The sequence below is a fragment of the Homo sapiens genome, chromosome 3 (assembly GCF_000001405.40).
Source record: "Homo sapiens chromosome 3, GRCh38.p14 Primary Assembly".
Taxonomy (NCBI): domain Eukaryota; kingdom Metazoa; phylum Chordata; class Mammalia; order Primates; family Hominidae; genus Homo; species Homo sapiens.
The window spans coordinates 36,557,170-36,583,262 of NC_000003.12; the positions used below are offsets into that span (position 1 = coordinate 36,557,170).

General features: G+C 38.8%; 1 annotated feature.

Annotated features, from left to right (window-relative positions):
- Positions 21,315–21,515: a silencer, noted in NCBI's record as "peak4610 fragment used in MPRA reporter construct". NCBI's record gives its function as "represses an SCP1 promoter by STARR-seq MPRAs in K562 erythroleukemia cells {active_cell/tissue: K562}" and the evidence as "EXISTENCE:reporter gene assay evidence [ECO:0000049][PMID:32103011]".

Genomic DNA, 26,093 nt, shown 5'->3' on the forward strand with positions numbered 1-26,093 from the left:
GGGCAACAACAAGAGACCCATGGCAGCACAGCAAGGTCAGGCAGCCTGTTTGGCAGCAACCTGCTGGCACCGTGTGCTCATAGCTCCTCCACCATTGCAATGCCTTTTTTGGTGGTGGTTCTTCCCCAGAGCCAACCTCAAAGCCAGAATCATCCTCCTAAAGTATCACTTTGATCCTGTTGTCACCCTGTTAAAAACCCTCCAAGGGCTTCCCCAGGGATACAGAAGCAAGTCCAGCCTCTGCAGTGGAGGTTTCTCCAGAGGCCTCAGACCAAACTCAGCTCTTCTGAAACTGCATAGCCCTGCTCTGAACTGCTCAAGCGGCATCTATCACTTCCTGTTTGACTAGTGATGATTTTAAAAGTAGATTTCAGTGAGTAGACTTTTTGAGGGCAGAATGCTAGGCTTGATTGCCTTGCAGGTGGGAGTCAAGGGAAACTATCTCTGTGATCATTTCAGAATGCCATGGAGTATTGACATCATCAGAAAAATCCCTGTTACCAGTACACTCTCTCACCTCTTACATATCCAGGTCATGGTACTAGATGACCATGACTTTTGTCTATAGGAGGTTAAATCAGTCAACAAAGCCCACTAAGATAGAGATCAAATCCAAGACCCTGGGCTAGAGATATGATTATATTCTATTCCTTGGCAAGAAACTCCAGCTTTAGCCCCAGTCACAAGGTGTGGGTGTGATGTTGCAGATCCATCGCCACCTCCACAAAAGCAACTTAAAGAGCACTCGCTGACAGGCTGCTCCACAAGGTCCCCTTGTGCATCCACCCCCTCCAATCTCTAGTGCTCTTAGAGACAGCTCAGCTCAGGTAGGGATTGGGGGAAAAGGATAGGAATTATTTGCATGTTATGATTTTTAAGTCTCAAACTACAAGTAGTCTTAAAAGTAAAGAGCATTGAGCAAATCTGTGTCTTAGATTAACTGTAGGACTTTTGCGAGCACACAGAAGGAGGAACTGCAAGCTGTTTCTGAGCTGCGCTAGCTCAAGCTGGAAGCAAAACTCAGTCTTCTCACCATTGTTTACGAGAAATCCACTCCCATAAATCATGTGTTGAGTTTAGTAGACTTGACCTGATGATATCAACAAAGAGTCTCAGGAGGAGTCCTGGCACTTGGCTTTTCACTATCTCCCTGCCCTTCTTTCCTGATCCCTTCTGATTCCTCCCACCATGCTCCCAGGAGCTCCAAACTCCTCTCACTCTTTTAAACAATGTGTTTCTCTCCAGCTCCTTCCTTCCCTTTGCACAATCAAACACACTACAGTGCTCAACAGGACTAGAAATCTCCCTTTTGACAAGACTTACTCTCTGCAGAAGAACTTAGATTACAGTTAAAATTATACAAATACCATGTTTAATTACCAAGGAAAGCCTCCATTTAAAACTGACTTAGAGGAGCTCCAAGGGTTTCTCCCATCCAGACCCCTTCCCTGGTTCCTGCCCTAGAGGACACATCTCCATGCCGAGCATCTCAGTATACTTCTTCATACACTATCAATCTCTGTGACATGGCAAAACAACTGGGATTGTCTTTCACTGTATCCATGTCATGTTTCTGACACCTACTTCTGAAAGTTTCACTATTTCAACTCAGCTGTCTGCTCACGTGAATACAATGTGTGCTTATTTATTTATGCCTTCCCTTCATGCTGAACACAAAATGATTTTTATTGGGCTCATGGTTTGAGATTTGGATAATTAAAGCAAATAGATTTCTTTTGGAAAGTCACTTTTCCAACACATCACAGACGAGAAACAATGAGGGATTCTTAGTGATTGTTCACTCTTGGAAAAATAGAAATCATACCCCACACCAAACAGCAGAAACAGAATGACCCAAAATGCCATGATTTCACTGCACTAGTCAGTAGTTTTTTAATAATGCTTCTGCTTTCTCTGAAATATTCACCTGCTTCGGTTCCCTAGAGCTTCCCAGCACTGAATGCATTTGGCCTTCCCTTCGCATGATTTCAGCTGTTATTTGTTTCCCACTTACACAATCATTCTTTGAAGGAGTCTAATCTGTTTCCTAAGTGCACAAGAACAGTAACAACATTATTTGCTCTTGCATAAGTTTAGATATACTACAAATGTAATAGTGTGCTCTAAAATATAATAGCTATAGTATTTACAAGCTTATTTTATATTTATTTTACTTATATTGCCACTGCATCACAAGAAAGAACATAAATAGTAAATCTTAAATAATACAGCTGTTAAGCTAGAAAGCAACTATTAGCGTTTGATAAGATAGTGAGAAGAGCATAGTTTTTTTTTTTTTTTAATACAAGCAACCTAATTTAGTTCCTTACTAGCTGGTGGCCTCGGACAAATTATTTAACCTTTCTGATCCTCAGAGATAATAATATCCACCTGAAAAGATGTTGAGCAAATTAAAGGAGATATTTATGTGAAAGCGTATATTGTAATGTGTGGCACATAGAAGGGTCACTTTTTGTTTTTTTTTTTTTTTACTATTTTTGTCCCCCAAGAGTGGTATTATCCTATTAAGAGGCAGTTGCACTGTAGTAATTTTTTGAATATAAATAATAATAATAAAAATTCTTACTGCACAAGTAAGTAGTTTTTTGATAGTGACTTAGTCTCCTATGGTAAATATTTTCAGAATATCTTTTGTTCAGTATGTGAATAGTTAATAAACCAGCATAGTACATGCTGATCACCTCCAATTCCCCACTTAACTTGCCTGAGCACAGTGCAAAGCAGGGTAAACCAAGGATTGACCCATGCCTCTGTTGACTGACTGCCATCTCCTTCAAAAGCTATGGGCAAAATTCTTTATGCTTATATGGTCCCTGTGTCTGAAACACTCAAAGCATTTTTCCAGAGATTAAATTGGGGCTTTCATATGACCCTGGTTAATAAATGTCAAGTCTTCAATGTGAAGTCTCAGAATGTCCTTTTGAGGAAGGTGGTTGACAACCTTATCTTCCATACAAATAAACTGAGGCATGGAGCAGATAAATCAGAGGACTTGTTATGGATTCTTCATTCCTTATGTGTACACTTTTAGTTTATATATGAAGACCAATGTTTCACAGGGGTGCACAGAAAGCCAGCAGGAATCCCCAGAGAGAATGGCTGTGGTTTCTTGGAGAAGGCAGCCCACCATTCTAATGTAGCTGAGAGGATTACAGTACTGGGGTCGAGGGGTGCTGAGGCAGGGTCTGCCTGAACTGGGTAAACAGTCTGAGTCAGTGAGGTTAGGACAAGTAGATAAGCTGGAACTCCAAAGGTGTGCAGTGTGATACCTCTCATGGGAAACAAAAAGTTCCCGTTTTGGACCAAGTTTCCATGGCTACAGTAAACCTCTTGTCAGGAGGAAAGAATAGCTCCAGCAGGGCCTAAGAAGAAGGGCCTTTGTGCATGGGGAGGACTAGAGGGCTCTGATCAGCAGCTGTGAGAGGACAGAGCTCCAACCTACCAGCTTGAAACACTGTCGGTAACCGTGACAGGAAGAAGCAGAAAGATTTCCACCTCATGGCAACCACCTCCACCACAAACACAGTGGGCCTTGGGGACCATCACCCTCCTTTACACCATGACAACATAGCTAAGCTCAAAATGCTTTTCCCAGAATTCCCATCCCCAAATGATTCCATGTCAGTGAAGGTCACAAGATAAATATTGCATGAGATTTAAAAAGCAGAAAGGAAGCCCCAGGCATGTTTTTGATGCTCTGAAGATAAACAGGAGGCACGAGGCACTTTGACAGTTCACTCACGTTGTCACTGGCTGTTCTTCCAATTCCTGCTCTATCTCCTCCTTCAGCTTCTTCACACATGTACACAGCGTCTTGTTAAGGGGCACAGCTGCTCCTGCATGTTAGTCATGGCATCGAATTTGCTGGTGGGAAGAGACAGACTTGAGTTCCAGTTCATCCTCATGGGGTCCAGCTTGTCTTTGCTTTTTCTCATACCCACCTTTCTATCTAGCTGCCGGCCTGGGTACCCTCATGCTACTTTAGGCCCAACACCAGATGAAGAGATACACAGTCTGTGTAACATAGGCTCCTCCCCCAATCTCTACAAAATCACATCCTTATAATAAATTTTGTTTTCTTTATTATTTAGAGTAGCCTTGCTTTTCTGATGGAACCCCAAGTGATACACACATACTGTCTTATTTAATCCTCACAACAGTCCTAGAAGGCAGGCACTATTATTATCCTCGTTTCACAGGTGAAGAACTTGAGAAACAAGAAGATTATCCTATATTAATTAGCTGGTATGTGGTGATGCTGGGATTTAAACCCAGGCAGTCAGATTCCAGAGCCTGAGTTTCAGCTCTGTACTGATTTCTTCCTTAATTCCATGAAGTCTAGCTTTTGTTCTCACCAGTTTTCTTTTTTTCTTAAGAAAAGAATGCCCTTAATACTTTAAAAAATTATTCTCAGAAAACTTTCTTCCATCCTTCTTCTTCTAGACCTCCCTAAAGCCCCTGATATGTTTCCTTATTCCTTTCCTTTGGCTGTGCTGAAGTTTCTTTTCTGTTTTATTTCCCAGCTTTTCTGCTTTCCACTGTCTGCCATACACATATGCACATATACATGCATACATGCACACACATACATACACACACGCACACACAGGTTTGACCATGTCATTCTAGCTCCAAATTGCATGCTCTTTCTTTATACCACACTGTCTGCCTGACAGTGATTCATCATCAGTCTCCTTTGCTAACCCAGATCTCTGCCATCTCCCACTGGGGGCTGCCAGGGCTCTACGCCTGCTACCCTGTAATAGTAAAATAAGTGATCAAACTGATCAACTGTAAAGCACACAGAAGGACACAGGCCAGATGGGAAAGAAATAGGACAAGGGAGGGAAGCTGAGCAAACAAGCCAAAGTAAGTTTAACTGAGGAGCAGGGCAGAACCCAGTGAACGCTTATAAGGCAGAAATAAACTCCCACGGGGGGGAAATGCTTTTGTGACTTTTATACAGAGAGAAGAGAAAGGGCCAGGTCATAAAACAGGGAGATAAGAGAGGGAAAAAATATGGATTTCTTGGAGAAGAGGAACCAGAAGGACCAGAGCAGAGTTATTCGTTGAGTCAACTGAGCAGTAAAAACTGTTCCAATGCAAAGCTAATCAGCAGATATAGGACCAAGAGAGAAGTTCTTACACTTCCTGAAACCAGGATCTGAGGCTGAGGACAGCCAGAAGCCCAAGGGATATACCTAGTGTCAGGACCTGCAAACTCAAGAGAATTGTCCAGCCAGAAAGGAATTGATAAGTTTTTTGAAACTTTTCTAAATTAAGAAGCATAAATTGTGTGTATGAATGACCTTAACACTACCGACTTCTCCCCTTGCAGAGCACAGTCCAGGATGACTGACCCAGGGATCTGCCTTTTATTAGAGAATCTCCTGAGAATGAGAAATTGCAATTTTCCAAGAATGAGACAGTGTCTTGTCCCTATTTTTCCACATACATACTAACATGAGAAACCTGAACACCAAAAAGTAAAATAAAACTCAAACCAAATCCAGAAATAAAATTTGGCTTTTTGAACTCAGTAAATTTGGTAAACCTTTGCAGAGGAAAACTTAGCTGACAAACACATGAAGGTATCCAAAAAAAGAGACAAGACTTTAAAAAATGAAACTTGCAGGCCTTTTACCCAGTGGTCTTGGGCCCAGGAATTTGTTCTATTTCTGAATCTCATAATTGGAAAAATACTAAACTGAGAAACAGCTTTTTACCCAAACTTTAACTAAATGCTACTTATAGTAGCATAAAATTAGAAACAGTCTATATATGGGGCAAAAGGTAATGGTTCTATAGTAATATAAATAATCTGTGCAATACATCTCTACCATGGATATAATAGAAGCATTTCTTTAAAATGAAGTGTGTGTGTGTCTGTATGGGTAGAGACAGAGAGGCAGTGACAGAGAACAATAGAAATATTGGTAAGTGAAAGAGAAAGTTGTTCAATGTTATGTAGAGCACGCACTCATTTTGGTGAGTCTGCCTGTGGGGGCTCTTTATCTATGAATACATGTGTAGATGCCTAGGAAAAGTCTGAAAAGAAATACTGCAAACCCTAACAGTGGTGACCTCTGGGAGTAGAGAGAATGGAACAGGAAAGCCAGGGCATTTGTTTTCTTCTTTTTTATTCTTTCAAATTCCTTGAATTTTTTTAGATTTCAAGCAGAAATCTGTCCATTAAAATCTGTTCTCCCTGTTCATGGTTGTATCTCAGAAGCTGCTTTTTTGACAGGGACTACATTCACCAGTTTTCCTTGGAGCTAGATGTGGCCAAATTTCAACAAAATGTGCGCAGAAATATGAACCACTTTCAGGTCAAGGTTTCGCACACACGGAGGGCCAATCTACTCTTGTACTCTCTCCTTCTACCAGTGGGACCATGGATATGACATTGGAGCCTCAATCATTGATAGCAAGACTCTAGTGGATGTTGGAATCACACCCTTGTCTCTGAATTATCACATGGGGAAGAACCCACGACTTCCCTTGAACACTTACCTGGGATAGTTACATTAACAAGAAATTAACCTTGATGTCTTTAAGACATTACATTTAGGTCTGTATCCTTTCACTTTAGGTTAACCTGGTGAAAATTACATTATTGCTTTTTCATAAGGAATTTTTAAAACTATACGTATTTTGAGAAAATTATAGATTTACATGCACTTGTAAGAAATAGTAGAAAGAAATCACACATACTCTTTACCCAGTTTCCCCCAGTGGTAACATCTTGCAAAACCACAGCACAATGTCACAACAGAATATTGATATGGAGTCAAAATAAAAAACATTTCCATCACAACAAGCATCTCTCATGTTCCCCTTTATAACCACATCCAATTCCCTTCAGCCCAAATCCCCACCTTAACTCCTAGCAATCACTAATCCATTTCTAGAATTTGTCATCTAGGAAATGTTGTATAAATGAAATAATATAGTATATAACCTTTTAGAGTTGGTGTTCTTTCACTCAGCATAATCCTTTGGAGATTCATCCAGGTTGTGGCATGGATCAACAGTTGGTTCCTTTTTATTACTCAGTGGTATTTTATGGTCTGGATGTACCACAGTTTGTTTCACCATTCATCCATTGAAAGACGTTTGGTTTGTTTCCAGTTTTGTATTATTGCGAATAACACCTCTATAAACATTCATGTAAAGGCTTTCATGCAACCATAAGGTTTTATCTCTCAGATAGATGCCTAAGAGCATGATTACTGAATCATATGGTAGTTGTATTTTTAGTTTTTTAAGAAACTGATAAATTGTTTTTCACACTGATGGTACCATGCTACGTTCCCCCTAGTAATTAATAAGTGATGGGATTTCTCTGCATTCTTGTCAGTATTTGGTGTGAGCACTACTTTCTATTTTACCCATTTTTATACGTGTCTAGTGATTTTCTTTTATATTTACTTTTTTGATATATTATATTTGTACATATTTTTGGAGTACATGTGAAATTTCATTACATGCATAGAATGTAAAATGTTATATACACAATGTGACATTTCATTGTGGCTTTTATTGGCATTTCCCCAATAGCTAAAGATATTGAATATGTTTTCATGTGTTTGCTATCTGTGTATACTCTGATGAAATGTCTCTTCATGTCTTTTGCCCATGTTCTAATTGGATTGTTTGTTTTTTCATTGTTTGGTTTTGAGAGTTCTTTAAATATTTTAGATACTAGTCCTTTGTTGGATTTGTGATTTGCAAATATTTTGTGATTTGCTTGTCTTTTTATCCTCTTAACAGGGTCTTTCTCAGAGCAAAAGATTTTAAATTGTAGTAATGCCCAATTTGTCAACTTTTCCTTTTCTGGATCATGTTTTTCATGTCAAATCAAAAACTCTTTGTCCAGCCTCAGATCTCAAAGATTTTCTCTTGTGTTTTTCTAAAAATTTTATAGTTTAACATTGTACATTTAAGTTCGTGCTCCTTTTTCAGTCAATTTTTGTGTAAGATGTGAGATTTACGTTTTAAGGTTCATTTTTTTTTAACTTATGGATGTCTAAATGCTCCAGCACCATTTGTTGAAAAGGCTCTCTTTCTTCCATTGAATTTTGTGCCTTTTATACCTTTGTGAAAAAAACACTTGGGCATAATTTTAGATTATTTTTGTGGGTTATTTTGTTAATTGATCTATGTGTCTACACTTCTACCAATACTGCACTGCCTTGATTACTATAACTATATAATAAGTCTTACAACTGAGTAGACCAAGTTCCCTCATTTTATTCTGCTTTTTCAAAATCATTTTGGATACTCTAGCTTTATCTCATATAAGTTTTAGAATAATCTTGTCTATACTATATATCTGTAAAAATCTTTCTGGTGTTCTGATAAGAATAGCATTCAGCCTTTATATCAATTTGGGGAGAATTAACACCTTTACCATGTTGAGTCTTCCAAACCATAAACACAGTATGGCTTTCCATTTATTAGATCTCATTTGATTTCTTTAATCAATGTTGTATCTGATCCAAAAATTTTACATGTTTTGTGAGATTTCCACTAAATATTTTATTTGAAGTGGTTTTAAATAGTATCATATTTTTTAATTTTAGTGTCTTTGTGTTAATTGCTAGTATGTAGAAATACAAATGGTTTTTATATGTTTGTCTCTAATCCTGTAACCTTGCTGAACTTGTTTAGTATTAGAATCCATAGGGTTTTCTATGTAGAAAATCATGTTATTTACAAATATGGACAGTTTTATTTTTTCCTTTCTGATCTATATGCATTTGGTTTTCGTTTCTTACCATATTTTACTGGCAAGAACTTCCAGCTCTATGTTGAATAAGAGTACTTAGAGTAGATATCATTGCCTAGATAGAAAGCATTCAGTTTTTCACCATTAAGTATAAAGTTAGGTGTTTTTTGTGAATCTCTCTTTATGATGTAGCAAGTTCCCCTCTATTTCTACTTTTCTGAGAGTTTTTGTCATGAATGGATGTTGAATTTTTTCAAGTGCTTTTTCTGCATCAATTGATATTAGCATGTTAATATGGTGGATTATAATGATTGGTTTTCATGTATTTCAAATATTGAACCATCCTTGCATCCTTTGTATAAAACTACTTGGACATAGTGTATAATTATTTTACATATTGCTAAATCCTATTGATTTATCTAAAGATTTTTATAAAGATTTTTGCATCTATATTCACAAGGTATATTGGTCTGTAGTCTTCCTTCTTTGTACTACCTTTGTCTAGTTTTGGTATCAGGATAAGACTGGCTTCATAAAATTGCATTTGTTATTTTATTTTCTTTATTTTAGACATGGGGTCTCACTCTGTCACCCAACCTAGAGTACAGTGGAGTGATCATAGCTCACTGCAGTTTCAAGCTCCTGGGCTCAAGCAATCCTCTCTTCTCAGCCTCCCAAGTAGCTGGGACTAGAGACATGCACCATCATGCTTATTTTGTTTGTTTGTTTGTTTTTGTAGAGACGAGGTCTTGCTATGTTGCCCAGGCTGGGCTCAAGCAACCCTCCTGCCTCAGCCTCCCAAAGTGCTGGAATTATAGGCATCAGCCACCATACCTACTTTGCATTTGTGAGCTATTTTATGAAGCTAGGCTTATACAAAGGATGTAAGGATGATTCAATATTTGAACCATACCTTGGAAGGATGGAAGACACAAGCACTTCCATCCTTGGAAGGAGGGAAGACACAAATTTCTAATATCAGGAAAAAAACAAGGGATATCATTATAGACCTGGCAGACATCAAAAGGATATGATAACATTACAAATAACTCTATACACATAACTCTATACACAGAAGGATAAGAGAACATTACAAATAACCCTATACACATAAGTTTGACAAATTAGATAAAATGAACCAATTCCTCAAAAAGCACAAACTACCATCAAAGATTTATAGCCAATTCTACACAATCTCTTTCAGAATATGGAAGCAGAGAGAGCACTTCCCAATTCATTTTATTAAGCTAGTATTAACACATTATCTATTTCAAGTTGAGTGAGTTGTAGGAGCTTGTGCTTTTAGAGGAATTGGCTCATTGTGTATTCCCTCCTTTTCTCTGTCAATCTTTCCAGAATTTCATCAATTGTATTAATCTTCTCAAAAAATCAACTCTTTATTTTATTTATTTTCTTTATTATTATTATTATTATTATACTTTAAGTTCTGGGGTACATGTGCAGAACGTGCAGGTTTGTTACATAGGTATACATGTGCCATGGTGGTTTGCTACACTCATCAACCCGTCATCTACATTAGGTATTTCTCATAATGCTATCCCTCCCCCAGCCCCCCAGCCCCTGACAGGCCCCAGTGTGTGATGTTCCCCTCCCTGTGTCCACGTGTTCTCATTGTTCAACTCCCACTTATGAGTGAGAACATGCGGTGTTTGGTTTTCTGTTCTTGTGTTAGTTTGCTGAGAATGATGGTTTCCAGCTTCATCCATGTGCCTGCAAAGGACATGAACTCATCCTTTTTTGTGGCTGCATAGTATTCCATTGTGTATATGTGCCACATTTTCTTTATCCAGTCTATCATTGATGGGCATTTGGGTTACTTCCAAGTCTTTGATATTGTGAACAGTGCTGCAATAAGCACAAGTGCGCATGTGTCTTTAGAGTAGCATGATTTATAATCCTTTGGGCGTATACCCAGTAATGGGATCACTGGGTCAAATGGTATTTCTAGTTCTAGTTCCTTGAGGAATCACCACACTGTCTTCCACAATGGTTGAACTAATTTACACTCCCACCAACAGTATAAAAGTGTTCCTATTTCTCCACAACATCTCCAGCATATGTTGTTTCCTAACTTTTTAATAATTGCCATTCTAACTGGCATGAGATGGTATCTCATTGTGGTTTTGATTTGCATTTCTCTGATGACCGGTGATAATGAGCATTTTTTCATGTGTCTGTTGGCTGCATAAATGTCTTCTTTTGAGAACTGTTTGTTCTTCCACTTTTTGATGAGGTTGTTTGTTTTGTTCTTATTAATTTGTTTAACTTATTTGTAGATTCTGGATATTAGCCGTTTGTCAGATGGATAGATTGCAAAAATTTTCTTCCATTCTGTAGGTTGCCTGTTCACTCTGATGGTAGTTTCTTTTGCTGTGCAGAAACTCTTTAGTTTAACTAGATCCCATTTGTTAATTTTGACTTTTGTTGCCATTGCTTTTGGTATTTGAGTCCTGAAGTCTTTGCTCATACCTACGTCCTGAATGGTATTGCCTATGTTTTCTTCTAGGGTTTTTATGGTTTTAGGTCTTACATTTCAGTTTTTAATCCATCTTGAGTTAATTATTGTATAAGGTGTAAGGAAGGGATCCTGAAAGTGATGGAACCAAGTTGGAAAACACTCTTCAGGATATTATCCAGGAGAACTTCGCCAACCTAGCAAGGCAGGCCAACATTCAAATTCAAGAAATACAGAGAACACCAAAAAGATACTCCTCGAGAAGAGCAACCCCAAGACACATAATTGTCAGATTCACCAAGGTTGAAATGAAGGAAAAAATGTTAATGGCATCCAGAGAGAAAGGTTGGGTTACACACAAAGGGAAGTCCATCCGACTAATAGTGGATCTCTCTGCAGAAACCCTACAAGCCAGAAGAGAATGGGGGCCAATATTCAACATTCTTAAAGAAAAGAATTTTCAACCCAGAAATTCATATCCAGCCAAACTAAGCTTCATAAGTGAAGGTGAAATAAAATCCTTTACAGACAAGCAAATGCTGACAGATTTTGTCACCACCAGGCCTGCCTTACAAGAGCTCCTGAAAGAAGCACTGAACATGGAAAGGAACAACTGGTACCAGCCACTGCAAAAACACACCAAATTGTAAAGACCATCGATGCTATGAAGAAACTGCATCAACTAACAAGCAAAATAACCAGCTAACATCATAATGACAGGATCAAATTCACACATAACAATATTAACACATTCAGGAGACCCATCTCATGTGCAAAGACACACATAGGCTCAAAATAAAGGGATGGAGGAAGATCTACCAGGCAAATGGAAAGCAAAAAAAAGCAGGGGTTGCAATCCTAGTCTCTGATAAAACAGGCTTTACATCAACAATGATCAAGAGAGACAATGAATGGCATTACATAATGGTAAAGGGGTCAATGCAACGAGAAGAGCTAACTAGCCTAAATATATATGCACCCAATACAGGAGCACCCAGATTCATAAAGCAAGTTCTTAGAGACCTACAAAGAGACTTAGACTCTCATACAATAATACTGGGCGACTTTAACAACCCACTGTCAATATTAGACAGATCAACAAGACAGAAGATTAACAAGAACATTCAGGACTTGAACTCAGCTCTGGACCAAGCAGACCTAATAGACATCTGCAGAACTCTCCACCCCAAATCAACAGAATACACACTCTTCTCAGCACAACATCTCACTTATTCAATGATTGATCACATAATTGGAAGTGAAACACTCCTCAGAAAATGCAGAAGACTGGAAATGATTTTCCTTAATGTGTTTCTATTTTCAGTTTCATGAGTTTCTGCTCTTATCTTTATTATTTCCTTCCTTTTATTTGGGTTTATTTTTCTCTTCATTCTTTAGATTCTTGAGGCGAGAATTGGATTATTGACTTGAGATTTCCTTTTTTTTTTTTTCCTTTGAGACGGAGTCTCACTCTGTCACCAGGCTGGAGTGAAGTGGCATGATCTCGGCTCACTGCAACCTCCGCCTCCCAGGTTCAAGTGATTCTCCTGCCTCAGGCCCCAGAATAGGTAGGACTACAGGTGAGCACCACCACACCCAACTAATATTTGTATTTTTAGTAGAGACAGGGTTTCACCACCTTGGCCAGGATGGTCTTGATCTCTTGACCTCGTGATCCACCCCCACCTCAGCCTCTCAAAGTGCTGGGATTATAGGCATGACCCACCATGCCCACCTCTCCCCTTCTTTTTTTAAATAAATTTTGCATTTAGTGCCATAAATTTCCATCTGACATTGCTTTAGCTGTGTCCAACATTTGTTGCTGCATTGTGTTTTCATTTTCATTAGTTCAATGTATTTTGTTTTGTTTTCTTGAGACTTCTTTGGCCCATGGATGATTTAGAAATGTGCTGTTTAGTTTTCCAGTAATTGAAAATTTTCCTGTTATCTTAAAGTGATTAATTTCTAGTTTGATTCCATTATAGCTAGAGAACACATTCTGTATGATTTTAATTACTTTTAATTTGTTGAGGTTTGTTTTATAGTCTAGGATAGGGCCTACTTTGGTATATGTTGTATGGGCACTTGAAAAGAATGTTTATTCTGGTATTGTTGGGTGGAGTACTCTATAAATACCCATTTGATTCTGTTGGTTGATAATGATGTTGAGTTATTCTCTATTCTTGGTGATTTTCTGTATGTTTGTCCTATCAATTGTTGAGAGAGAGATTTGAAGTCCACAACTATAATTATATATATTTGATAGAGATAGATGGATAAAGGTAGAAACAGAGATATGTATACAGTTTATATATTTAGTTTATATGCATTTGGGGTTGCTGTATCTTCTTGATGGATTGATCATTTTATCATTGTATGATGTCCTTCTCTATTTCTGGTAATTTTCTTTGTTCTACAGTCTACTTTGTCCTATACTAATATAATCCAACTTTCCTTTGAATAATGTTTGCATGATATACCTTTTTCCATTCTTTTACTTTCAACTTCCCTGTATCATTATATTTGAAGTGAGTTTCTTGTAGACAACATATAGTTGAGTTATATCTTCTATTTCTGAGGTTTTTTCACTTCTTTGCTGAGTCTAATTTTTTGACTTGTTTCAATTATATTCATAATTGCTCATTGAAGAATTTTATCGTGGCTGTTTTAAAATATTTCTCAGATAATTCTAACATTTGTTTTCTTTGTGTTGGCATCTATTCATTGTCTTTTTTATTCAGTTTGAGATATTCCTGATTCTTGGTATGACAAAAGATTTTCAGTTGAAACCTGGACATTTTTGTATTACGTTATGAGACTCTAGATTTTATTTAAACCTCTGTTTAAGCTGTTTTCTTTCTGACCCTGGCAGGGGAAAATAGAGCATCACCTCATTGCTGACAAATGAAAGTAGAAAGCTGGGTTCCCCACTCAGCTTCCATTGGCTCCTTGTTATTTCTTGGCAAGGCTAAGTATTCCAACTCCCCACTTGATCCACTGATGCCACAGTGCTTGTGGTGTCTCTTTCTGGGTGATAGTTAAAGTCCTGACTCTTCACTAGGCTTCCTCTAACACCATCCCAGCAGGAAAAGGAAAAGACAAGTCATCATGGCCAGGTTAGGGTGGAAGTCCAGGATCCCCAATTAGTCTTAACTGATATTGTGATTGAAGGAATGGGCCTCATTACAGGCTAGAAGGAATGAAAGTCCCACCTCCATACTTGGTCTTCTCTTACACTACCCAGACAGGGGTATTGGAGTTCTTTATTACAGGCTCACATATGGAAAAGTATAGCCTACCCACTCAGCCTTTGCTGGTGGAAATGGAGGTTGAGCCACAGTTTTTTCTGTGAAATTTGGCTGGAGTATAACAGTTATTATCTAAAAAGTGCTCTATCTTGCTGGGATGCCTCTTGTCTTTTGGATATAGAGAGAAGACATTCATTTGGGTAAATATGAACCCATTGGTGTTTCCAGGTTGCCAGATTCTTCATCTCCAAGTTATAGATATGTGAGGCAAAAATGAGACCCAAATAACTTACTACAACATTGTTTCTCAGGTGCTGAGGTCTCTAGCTATTCTACCTTCTCCTATTTTCCAGTACCTTCTTATGTTTATTTTATATAAATGTGCAGTGTTTTATTTGTACTTGGTGAGAGCAACAGAGAGAAGTATGTCTACTTCATCTTCCCAGAAGCATAAATCTAGGGATTTTCATGGTATTATTAACATAGTATCAATTTTTTTAAAAGACCAATAAGAACATTTGTCACTTTGAGAGTATCTGATCCCCTACTTCATCTCAATCATTTTTCTAATTTTTTGAGTGTCTTTGTCCATTTTGGCTGCTATAACAAAATACCTTACACTAAGTAATTTAAAAGCAACAGGATTTGTTGCTTACAGTTCTGAAGGCTGGCAAGTCCAAGATTAATGCACAAGTAGATTCAGTATCTAGTGAGGGCCTGTTTCTTATAGATGGCACTTTCTTGTTGTGTCTTCACATGGTAGAGAAAGCAAATAGGCTCTCTCAAGTCTCTTTTATGAAATAAGTAATCCCACTTATGAGGACTCCACCCTCATGACCTAATTTCCTCCTTTTAACAGTTCTACCTCTTAAGACTATTGAACTGTGGATTGGGTATCAAAGTATAATTTTGTTTGGGGAGCACAAACATTCAGACCATACATTTATGTATTTCTCATGTGCAAAATACATCCATTACATCCTAAAAGTTCCCAAAGCACCAACTCAAAAGTCTAAAAGCCCAGAGTCTCATTTAAATATTATATAAATCTTATATGAGTGAGACTCAAGGGTGTGATTCATCCTGAGGCAAATTCCACTCCAGCTATGAGCCTGTGAAATCAAACAAGTTACGTCCTTCCAAAATACAATGGTGGGGCAGGCATAGGTTAGACATTGTCATTCCAAAATAGAGAAATAGGAAAGAAGAATGGAATACCAAGTATGGAGGTAGGACTTGTATTCCCTCCAACCTGTAATGAGGCCTACCACTCCAACCAATGTGTCAGTTAAGACTAAATGGGGAACTTGGACTTCTACCCACTACCTGACCAAATCTAAAGCCCACTAGGGAAAACATTTAATCCTAACCCTTGACAATAATCTTCTTTAATTCCATATTCTTCCTTCAGGACACAATAAAGAAAGGAGTGGGCTCCTGTGAACTATAGATGATCCCACTACCATGGTTTTGCCAGGTGACATCCACACTGCATCTATCACAGGTTGAAATCAAGTACTATATTAGTCTGTTCTCATGCTTCTAATAAAGACATACCTAAGACTGGGTAATTTATAAAGGAAAGAAGTTTAATTGACACACAGTTTCACATGGCTGGGGAGGCCTCACAATCATGGCAGAAGGTGACTGAGGAGCAAAGTCACGTTTTACATGGTGGCAGGCAAGAGAGCTTGTGCAGAGGAACTCCCATTTATAAAACCATCAGACCTCATGAGACTTATTCACTACCACAAGAATAGTACGAGATAAACTGCCTCCATTATTTAATTATCTCCACCTGGCCCCACCCTTGATATGTGGGGATTATTAGAATTCAAGGTGAGATTTGGGTAGGGACACAGCCAAACCATATCAAGTACCCATGATTCTCCCAGGCTGGAATCACACTTTAGTGGTTCTAACAGTCTGAGATATTGAAAGCTGCCACACCCTGACAGCGCCACAAGGCATTGCCCTAGTGGGAGCTTTCTTCAGTTGCCCCACCCTCATGTTCCAGTAGGTATTGCTCCAGTGGTGCAATGGTGTGGTGGCCCCATCCCAGCAGAAGTTCTCTGCCTGGGACCCAAGGCTCTCCCAAGCATTCTTTGAAATCTAGGTGGAGGAAGCCATGCCCCCACAGCTCATGCACTCTGCACACTTATGGAAATGGCACTGCTTGGACACCTATGGTAAACATAGATTTGCCACCTATGCCATCCAGAGGGGCAATCTGAGCCATATCTGGACCTGCTTGAGCCACACCTGGGGTGGTCAGAGTGCTGTGCCAAAATGTGGGGAGCAGAGACTTGAGGTTGCATAGGGCAGCAAGCTATGAGGTGCCTTGGGCACCTGAGATACCTCTTTTAACATCATTCTGTCCCCCAGGTTTTGGTAATCTGGGCCTGTGATGGGAGTAACAGGCCTGATGATCTTTGAAATGCCTTCATGGCCATCATTCCATTGAATTGATGAATAATATCTGACTTCCTTCTATTCATACTAATTTTAGCAAAGGGTAGCTTGGCCACATCCTTGGTGTTCTCTCCCAAGCATGTTTTTTATTCTTTAAAACATAGCCAGGCTAAGAAATTTCCAAATCTTTAAGTTCTACTTCCCTTAATTTTAAGTTCTGTCTTTAACTTGTTTCTCTCTTCTTGCGTTTTACTTGAAGAGGTCAAGAAAAGCCATGCCACACCCTCCACACTTAGTTTAGACATTTCTTCCACCAAATACCTTATTTTGTTTCTCTGAGGTTCTACCTTCCACAAAACACTAGGACATGAATACAGTTCAGCCAAGTTTTTTGCCACTTTATAACAAAGATCACCTTTCCTTCACTATCCAGTAACACATTCCTCATTTTTATCTGAAACTTCATTGGAATGGACTCTGTGTCCATATTTCTATGAACACTGTTTACAACATCTTACATAACCTCTAAGAAGATTAAGGCTTTCTCCACAGCTCTCCTCTCTTCTGAGCCCTCACCAGAATTGTTCTTTATGATCCATTCACAGGAATATAGGCTTTTTCTAGCATGCATCTCAGAACTCTTCCGGCATCTATCCATTAACATTTCTAAAGCTGCTTCCACATTTTTAGGTATTTGTTACAGAAGCACCTCACTCCTCAGCATCAATTTCTGTATTAGCATGTTCAGACTGCTATAACAAAATACCTTAGACTGGATAATTTATAAACAACGGAATTTATTGCTTATAGTTTTGGAGGCTGTGCAGCCTAAGACCAAAGCACCACTAGATTCAGTGTCTGGTGATGGGCCCATTCCTCACAGATGGCACCTTTTTGCTGTGTCCTCATGTGGTAGAAAGGGTAAACAGTCTCCCTCAAGCCTCTTTTATAAGGACACTCATTCCATTCATGAGGGAAGATCCCTCATGACCTAATTGACTCCTAAAGGCTCCACCTCTTAATATATTACATTGCGGATCAGGTATCACCATATGAATTTGAAGGAGATACAAACATTCAGACCATAGCCTTGAGTTTCAAATCTATTCATAGGCACAGACAGCTCGGTAATTACAAGGTTGAAGATCGGGCTGAGGAACTCATCACTTTTATGCCATGTTAGACATCCTCTGAAGAATGAGGTCAGCATGAAGGAGTGACTGTGAAGGGGCTATGGCTGATGAGAGAAAAAGCCCCCAGGCAGGCCCACTGGATATTGCTCAGTGGGCCTAGGCAATGTTTACAAGTGTTGGCAGGAGTGCTTACCCACCACCCAACATCGTTAGTCTCATACAGCTTTTTCCAGAAGGGAGGACTGCCAGGAGGCTAGGGCTCTGCCAACACCATTTCTGATCCTGGCAATGAAAACTCCAGAAATAAGCCTTTTGGATGCTGGGTTCTTAAATATAAAAAATCAGATCAGAACGAAGGAGGGAATATTGATGCAAGGGGAAGAAACTCTTTGTTCTCATTCACACATTTAATGACTCCAAAGTGAAATGGGGACATCAAAAATACCTTTCTTAGAAGGTTGATATGGGATAAATTAGGGCTATGATATGAATGTGTCCCCCAAGATTTATATGTTGAAACTTAAGTGTCAATGTGACAATATTATGAAATAGGCCTTTGAGAGCTGATTAAGCCATGAGGATAGAGCCTTCATTAATGGGATTAATGACCTTATAAAATGGCTGAAGGGAATCAGTCCTTTTGCCTTCTGCCTTCATGTAAGGACACAGCATTTGTCCCCTCCAGAGGATGTAACAACAAGGCAACATCTTGGAGACAAAGAGATCAGGCCCTCACCAGACACGGAATCTTCTGGTGCCATAATCTTGGACTTCCCAGCTCCTAAACTGTAAGAAAATAAATTTCTGTTCTTTATAAATTACTCAGTCTCCGATCTAGGGTATTTTGTTATAGCAGCACAAATGTACTAGAACAATTAGGATAATATATATTAAGTGCTTGACATAATACTGTACAATGGCAAGCTTTCTATAAATGGTGACTGCTAAAATTAATATTATTTATATTCACAGTTAGATACATCTTACCACACATGCAAATTTGCATGGCAGTATAAATTATAGCCATAAGGTTGTATAATACAAAGAAAAGCAGGGAAAATAGAATTGGGATTTGGAACCAATCCCAATTCCTGATGCTCACATCTCTAAGAGCAGCAGAGTAGCCAAGCAGACTAGAACACTTGTGCTTAGACAAAGCTTCCTCTCAGAACCCCTCTTCCAGACCTTGCAGATGCTTTCTAGCTCTCTGACTGCCTCTTTAGATGTGTTAATACTAGAAGATAGGCCAATGTTTAAGCTACTTTTTGTAGAGAGCTCATTACATTCATGCCCTTTAGATTTACTCTAATCCATCAGAGCATCCTAGTATTCAAGGGTTGTGAAGATTCCTCACTGATCTCCCAATACTGAGTCAACATAGCTTAGGGGTTATTTTTGTCCATAGCCATGTCCTCACTTCTCTATTTGATCAACCCACAATTTCATTAAAAATTAATCATCTTTCTGAAAAATAGTGCATAATAAAAAACAGGTGTTTTATAACTCATCCTCTGGTCTAAAGGAACACATCAGTTTACATTTGTGCTATGAATGATTTTATAACATTATAGAAGTATGAAGGTTTGTTTGCTCTGTAATGAAGATGAAAATTCAAGAGGCTTGGAATTCTTCTTTTCTTTTCTGTCTACATTTCTGAAGTATTCTTAACTATTCTTGGAAAAAACTGATTACCTGTTCCTTTGATGAGTAATAATATAAGCCAGATGCTTAGAAAACCAGGATGATTTCCTTTGTTTTATAACTAATGTAGCTAGTGAAAGAAAAGTGAATTTGTAAAATGAGAAAGAATATTTACAATAAAACCTAACTATTTGGAATCTCCCAAGAAAGCCTCTAAAACATAAAAGATGCAGCACAAGCTCAATAATTATAAACTGTTACAATTATTACTCTTTAAAAATGAGTCTTCTATAAGAATTTTGACAGGGATTAATACACAAAATTACAAATATACAGAATAAGTAAACTTTTAAGTCTTTATCTTTACAGTATATTTTTCAAATAAAGCTTTAAGAGAATTTCCAGCAATTCAGATAGAGCTCACCCACACTTATAGTACAATCTATTTGCTCCAAAACATATAATCATATGATAACCTGAGTAGCAAATGCAGAGAAAGGTCTGCCTTCTCAATACATTTTTGATTTACGACATTTTAAACTTACATTGGCTTTTAGAAGTTTATTTTTCAAAACAGTTTAAAGCTATATGGAAATTGAAACCTGGTAAACAGATCACATTTCTATTTTCTTTCCTAAAAGTTGTAATACACAATTTAAGAACATTTCATATGTGATAACTGATTATTTCTGTCTTCTTGCCTTTCAAAAAGGCTGTATCTATAGATGCAAAATCACTCTTATGTTCCCATTTATATGTATTTGCCTTCAAATTGACTTCTTGAAACAGAAGTTACTTCTATTTCTATAAGCAGAAATATAGTATCATGTTTAACTTTGCTTCAACATTGAACTAAAGTGATAAAACATCCAAGCTAGAAGAGAAAACACTCTGGGCTGTGAAGAAGAAGGAGGTGACTGAGGAGAAAAGGCAAAAAGATGGAGTTCTCTTTCCAGTTCTACCATTAACAAATGGACTCTCATTTACCGATACAAAGAGTCCCCAACTTCCAATAACTCAACTATGCAACTTTACAATGACATGAAAGTGATACACATTCAGTAGAGCCTGAACATTGAATTTGGAATTTTGCTATTTTCCCAGGCTGCAGTATAATATTTCCTGGTAATGTGGGGCAGCACCACTGACGCCAGTTAACCATGCTAAGGATGTAACGTTCTGAGCACATTTAAGGTAGGCTGGGCAGAGCTATGATATTCAGTAGGTTAGACATACTAAATACATTTTTGGCTTATGATATTTTCAAGTTATAAACTTATTGTGTATCGGGGGAAACCAGCCCCCAATATTCAAAGTGAGTCCTTTTCTATTTTCCCTAAGCGTCGGCTGGTCTGAGAAATAAAGGGAAAAGGTACAAAAGAGAGAAATTTTAAAGCTGGATGTCCAGGTCAGACATCACATGTCAGCAGGTTCCGTGATGCCCCCAAAGCCACAAAACCAGCAAGTTTTTATTAGTGATTTTCAAAAGGGGAGGGAGTGTACAAATAGGGTGTGGGTCACAGAGATCACATGCTTCACAAGGTAATAAAATATCACAAGGCAAATGGAGGCAGGACGAGATCACAGGACTGGGGCGAAATTAAAATTGCTAATGAAGTTTTGGGCATGCATTGTTATTGATAACATCTTATCAGGAGACAGGGTTTGAGAGCAGACAACCTGTCTGACCAAAATTTATTAGGAGAGAATTTCCTCGTCCTAATAAACCTGGGAGCACTCTGGGAGACCGGGGCTTATTTCATCCCTTATATCCCTTATCTACAACCATAAAAGACAGACGTTCCCAAAGCAGCCATTTTGGAGACCTCCCCTTGGGAAAGCATTCTCCTCAGGGATGTTCTTTGCTGAGAAAAAGAATTCAGTGATATTTCTCCTATTTGCTTTTGAAAGAAGAGATATATGGCTCTGTTCTGCCCAGCTCTCAGGCAGCCAGACCTAGTGGTTATCTCCTTTGTTCCCTGAACATCGCTGTTATCCTGTTCTTTTTTCAAGATGCCCAGATTTCATATTGCTTAAACAATTTGTACAGTTAATGCAATCATCACAGGATCCTGAGGTGACATACATCCTCCTCATCTTATGAAGATGACAGGATTAAGAGATTAAAGTAAAGACAGGCAGAGGAAATCATAAGAGTATTGATTGGGGAAGTGATAAATGTCCATGAAATCTTCACAATTTATGTTCAGAGATTGCAGTAAAGACAGGCATAAGAAATCATAAAAGTATTAATTTGGGGAACTAATAAATGTCCATGAAATCTTCACAATTTATGTTCTTCTGCCATGACTTCAGCCAGTCCCTCTGTTCAGGGTCCCTGACTTCCCACAACAATTGGATTTATAAGGACATAATCCCATCATAAGTCAAGGAGCATCTGAACATAAATAGGGTTTACTAGGGTTGCTTTTAACTCATTCTAATGGTCTATGACTCTAAATTATTTCTTAAAGGAGGTTCATACAAAACTGAGACCCTTGCCACAGTATGTTTTAGAGCAATCAAGACCACAGAAGAAAAAAAAAAGTTGCTATTTTCCCATAAACTGCATTTTTAGTGAAAGTCAGTTTTCTAGAAATTTCTACTTTCATTTGAGAGTTTACTATACTGGGAACCCTGGTCTGAAAGGCATAATGCCTGTCATTTAGTCCTTCTACCCAAGAGCCTTTTATTATTGGTAAATTCTATTTCATTCCTATTCATGATGTACTATAACACCAAGAGCATTGTCCTGAATGTTTACTTTGTGTTTTATGTGTGAGCTCATCTCACTTTGTAAAGCAATCAAGTCATTATTGGGCCAACTCTCTGAAGTTGAGTAGTTTTCTAGAATTAAAGGAATGGTAGGGTTTCCTGTGGTACCATATTGAAAATCTGTCTCATATTTCTGTTCCACTTTAGCTCCCAAGCTGTCCTTCATTGAAGGGAGTGAGATTGAATTGGGGATACCAGGAACCTGGTTTTGTTTTGGATGATTTTTAGTAAGTTATTTCTATTGAAGAAACTTCTTCAATAAGAAAATACAAACTACATAAGTGCCCATGATTTTCTAATTAAGCAAGTTCTGCTGTTACTGTGGGGTCACTGATGACTAACAATCTCATTCAGTCTCTGGGGCCCACAACTATTCTGATATTTCAACAACTAGAAGGAAAACCCGTAGCCTATGGACATGTGAATGCCAATTATTCTCTTGAACATGACCCAGAAAAACCTGCAGCACACCTGCCAACTCTCACAAGCAGGTGCTAGCCTTGTGTCTGTGTCCCTGTAGGACACTGATCCTTTTTCTTACCATTTACAGGGATTCTCAAACTTTCAACATTTCTGTGTGATTGAATTGCAATGTTACAAAAAAAGGAAAAGAAAGGATATATAGGCCAAAACTTGATGTTTAAAAAAACTGGCTTCCCCCAAAAAAATAGAAATTAAAATGCTTTAGTTCTAATACTTTTTCAGAAAATAAAATCAATACGCATTTGATGTAAAAGTTACATTCTAACAAAAATAAAAACCTCTAAGTGAATATATGTATATATATATTCATATATGTATTCGTATATGTATACATGTATATATATATATGAATATATAAAATACATATTCATATATGTATATATGCACATATATATGCATATATATATGCAAGAGTCTTCAATATGATAGAGGAGTAATTCTCTTTTGAACATTCACTCAAAACAACTCTAATTTAGGCTTTTCATCATGGATAAAAAGAGTTCCTGGAAATTTGTACAACTAATAAGTTGGTGCCTTAGACCTGATGTCTGTATCTTTATCAACATTTTTTGATAACTGGAAATTGTAGCTGTTCCATATTAAAATGGATTTAATATTCTATTTCAATTTTGTGGCAAGTGCCAAACTAGGAGAAACTGTTAACATTATGGGAAAGTTACGGGCTAAAGTTTCATTCAGCTTCTTGTACCAGCTGACACCTGGCTGAACCCAAGGACACTGCTTCTTTTCCTGTCCTCTCATGAGACTGCTGTTTTTATCCCACAGCTTAAGTGACTCTGTATGAGCAGAATGAGGTTGACACATGTCCTTCCAGATCCTCATTGCTATTTCCAGAACTTTTTCCTCTCTTCACTTCCAAAAACCTCAGCTCCTTTGAGATGCATGCTCAAAGCCTATGTCATCTGCTGTTCCCACATCCTACAGCCACCTCCTAACTCCTCAGACATCGTTCTTATTTCATTGTTTTCCTCTCAATTCTTGTCATTGTTCTTGGTTATTTCAACATGACTGAAAATCCGGTCAATGTCATAGACACACTGTTCCTTGCCTTACTTTCAATTATCTTTTCCTCTACCACTTTACCTCCCTCAGCAACTTATTTTTGCTCATCTCCAAAATATCAGTGTCAACCTTCTCATTCTTTATGCACCCTCTCACTAATTCTTATTGAAAATGACCACCTAAGATTGCTGGCCTAACCAGATTATAACACAAGAATGCCCTCAATAAGAAGGCATGTATTAGAGTCCTGGAAGTGAAGAAGAATGAAAGATAGTAGTGGCAATCAGAAGTTATTTCAAAATAAAAAGAGAAAACCCTAAGAGGAAAAAACAAAGATGGCAAATGCTACTAAAAAAAAATCAGATTCCCTCTACTGACATGCCCTATTTATCAATAGCATTCGTATGTGTGAACCTTGGTCAAGAGTTTATTAGGAAGAGGAAGTGGAGCAAGATGACCAAATAGAAGCCTTCACCAATCATGCTCCCCCATAGAAACACCAAATTTGACAACTATCTACACAAAAAAAGCACCTTCATAAGAATCAAAAATCATGTGAACAAGTACAGTACCTGGTTTTAACTTTATATTGCTGAAAGAGGTACTGAAAAGGATAGGAACGACAGTCTTGAATTGCTGATGCCACCCTTCTCCATCCCTCCAGCAGCAGCCGTGTGATGTGGAGAATCTATGTGCTTGGGGAAGGGAGAGTACAGTAATTGTGGGACCCTGCATTGAACTCAGTGCTGCCCTGTCACAACTATTAATAAAAGCAAAACCAGGCTAAACTCAGCTGACACCCATCCATGGTGGAAGTATTTAGACCAGCCCTAGCCAGAGGGGAATCACCCATCCCAGTGGTCAGAACTCAGAGTACCAGCAAGCCTCACCACTGTGGGCCACAGGGCTCTGGGGTCCTAAATAAACTTGAAAGGCAATCTAAGCCACAAGGACGAAAATTCCTATGCAAGTCTTTGTGCTGTGCTGGGCTCAGACCCAGTGGACTTGGAGGGCACATGACCTTCTGAGATACCAGCCAGATGGCTAATGGAGTGCTTGTGCCACCTCGCTCCCAATACCAGGGAGTGCAATTTGCAGCAATAAAAAAAGCAACTCCTTACTTCTGCTCGAAGAGAGGAGAGAAAAGAGTAAAGTGGACTTTGCCTTGCATCTTGGATATAGGGCACTAGACAGAGTTGTGAGGCCCTCATTCCAGGCCCAAGTTCCTGGATTACACATGTAAACACACCCTAGGCCAAAAGGAAACAGACGTCTTAAAGGGAGGACCTAGTCCTTGCAGGATTCACCACCTGCTGACTAAAGAAACCTTGGATAACCAGCAGCAATACCCAGGTAGTATGCCATAGGCCTTGGATGAGACTGAGAAGACCTGACTTCATGTGAGAACCAGCACACTCCCAGCTATGGTTGCTGCAGGGAGAGACTCCTTCTGTTTGACAAAAGTGGAAGGAAAAGTAAATAGGACTTTGTTTTGTACCTTAAGTACCAGCTCAATCATAGAGCAACCATTGGGCTCTTGAGGTCCCCAAATCAAAGCCTAGGGTCTTGAATGCTATTTCTGGACTTGTCCTGGACCAGAGGAGCAGACTTCCTGAAGGGTGACTCCCAGGCCAGGGAGCATTCACCACAAGCTGACTTAAGAGGTATTGGGCCTGAAGATAACATCAGCTGTAGTCTGGCAGTACTCCCCATGGGCCTGTGGTGGTGGCGGCCATGGGTTGAGGCTCCTCTGCCTATGGAAAAGGAAGGGAATAGTGGAAAGGACTTTGTCCCATGGTTACAGTGCCAGCTTAGCCACAATATAATAGAACATCAGGAATATTTTTAAGGTTTTTGACTCCAGTCGCTGGTTCCCAGATGGCAGCTCTGAACCCACCTAGAGGCTGGGAAAACTTGCTGCCCTGAAGGGAAGTGCAAAAATCTGACTGGCTTTGCCACCTCCTGATTGTAGAGCCTTAGAGCCTTAACCAAACAAAGGTTACAGTCAGATAGTTGTTACACTGGGCCTTGGGCAAAACCAAATGATGTGCTGGCCTCAGGTCTGAACCACTGAGGTCCCAGTGGTGGTGACCAAAGGAGTGCTTGGGTCCCCATGACCTCAGCTCCAGGCAGCTCAGCACAGAGAGAGA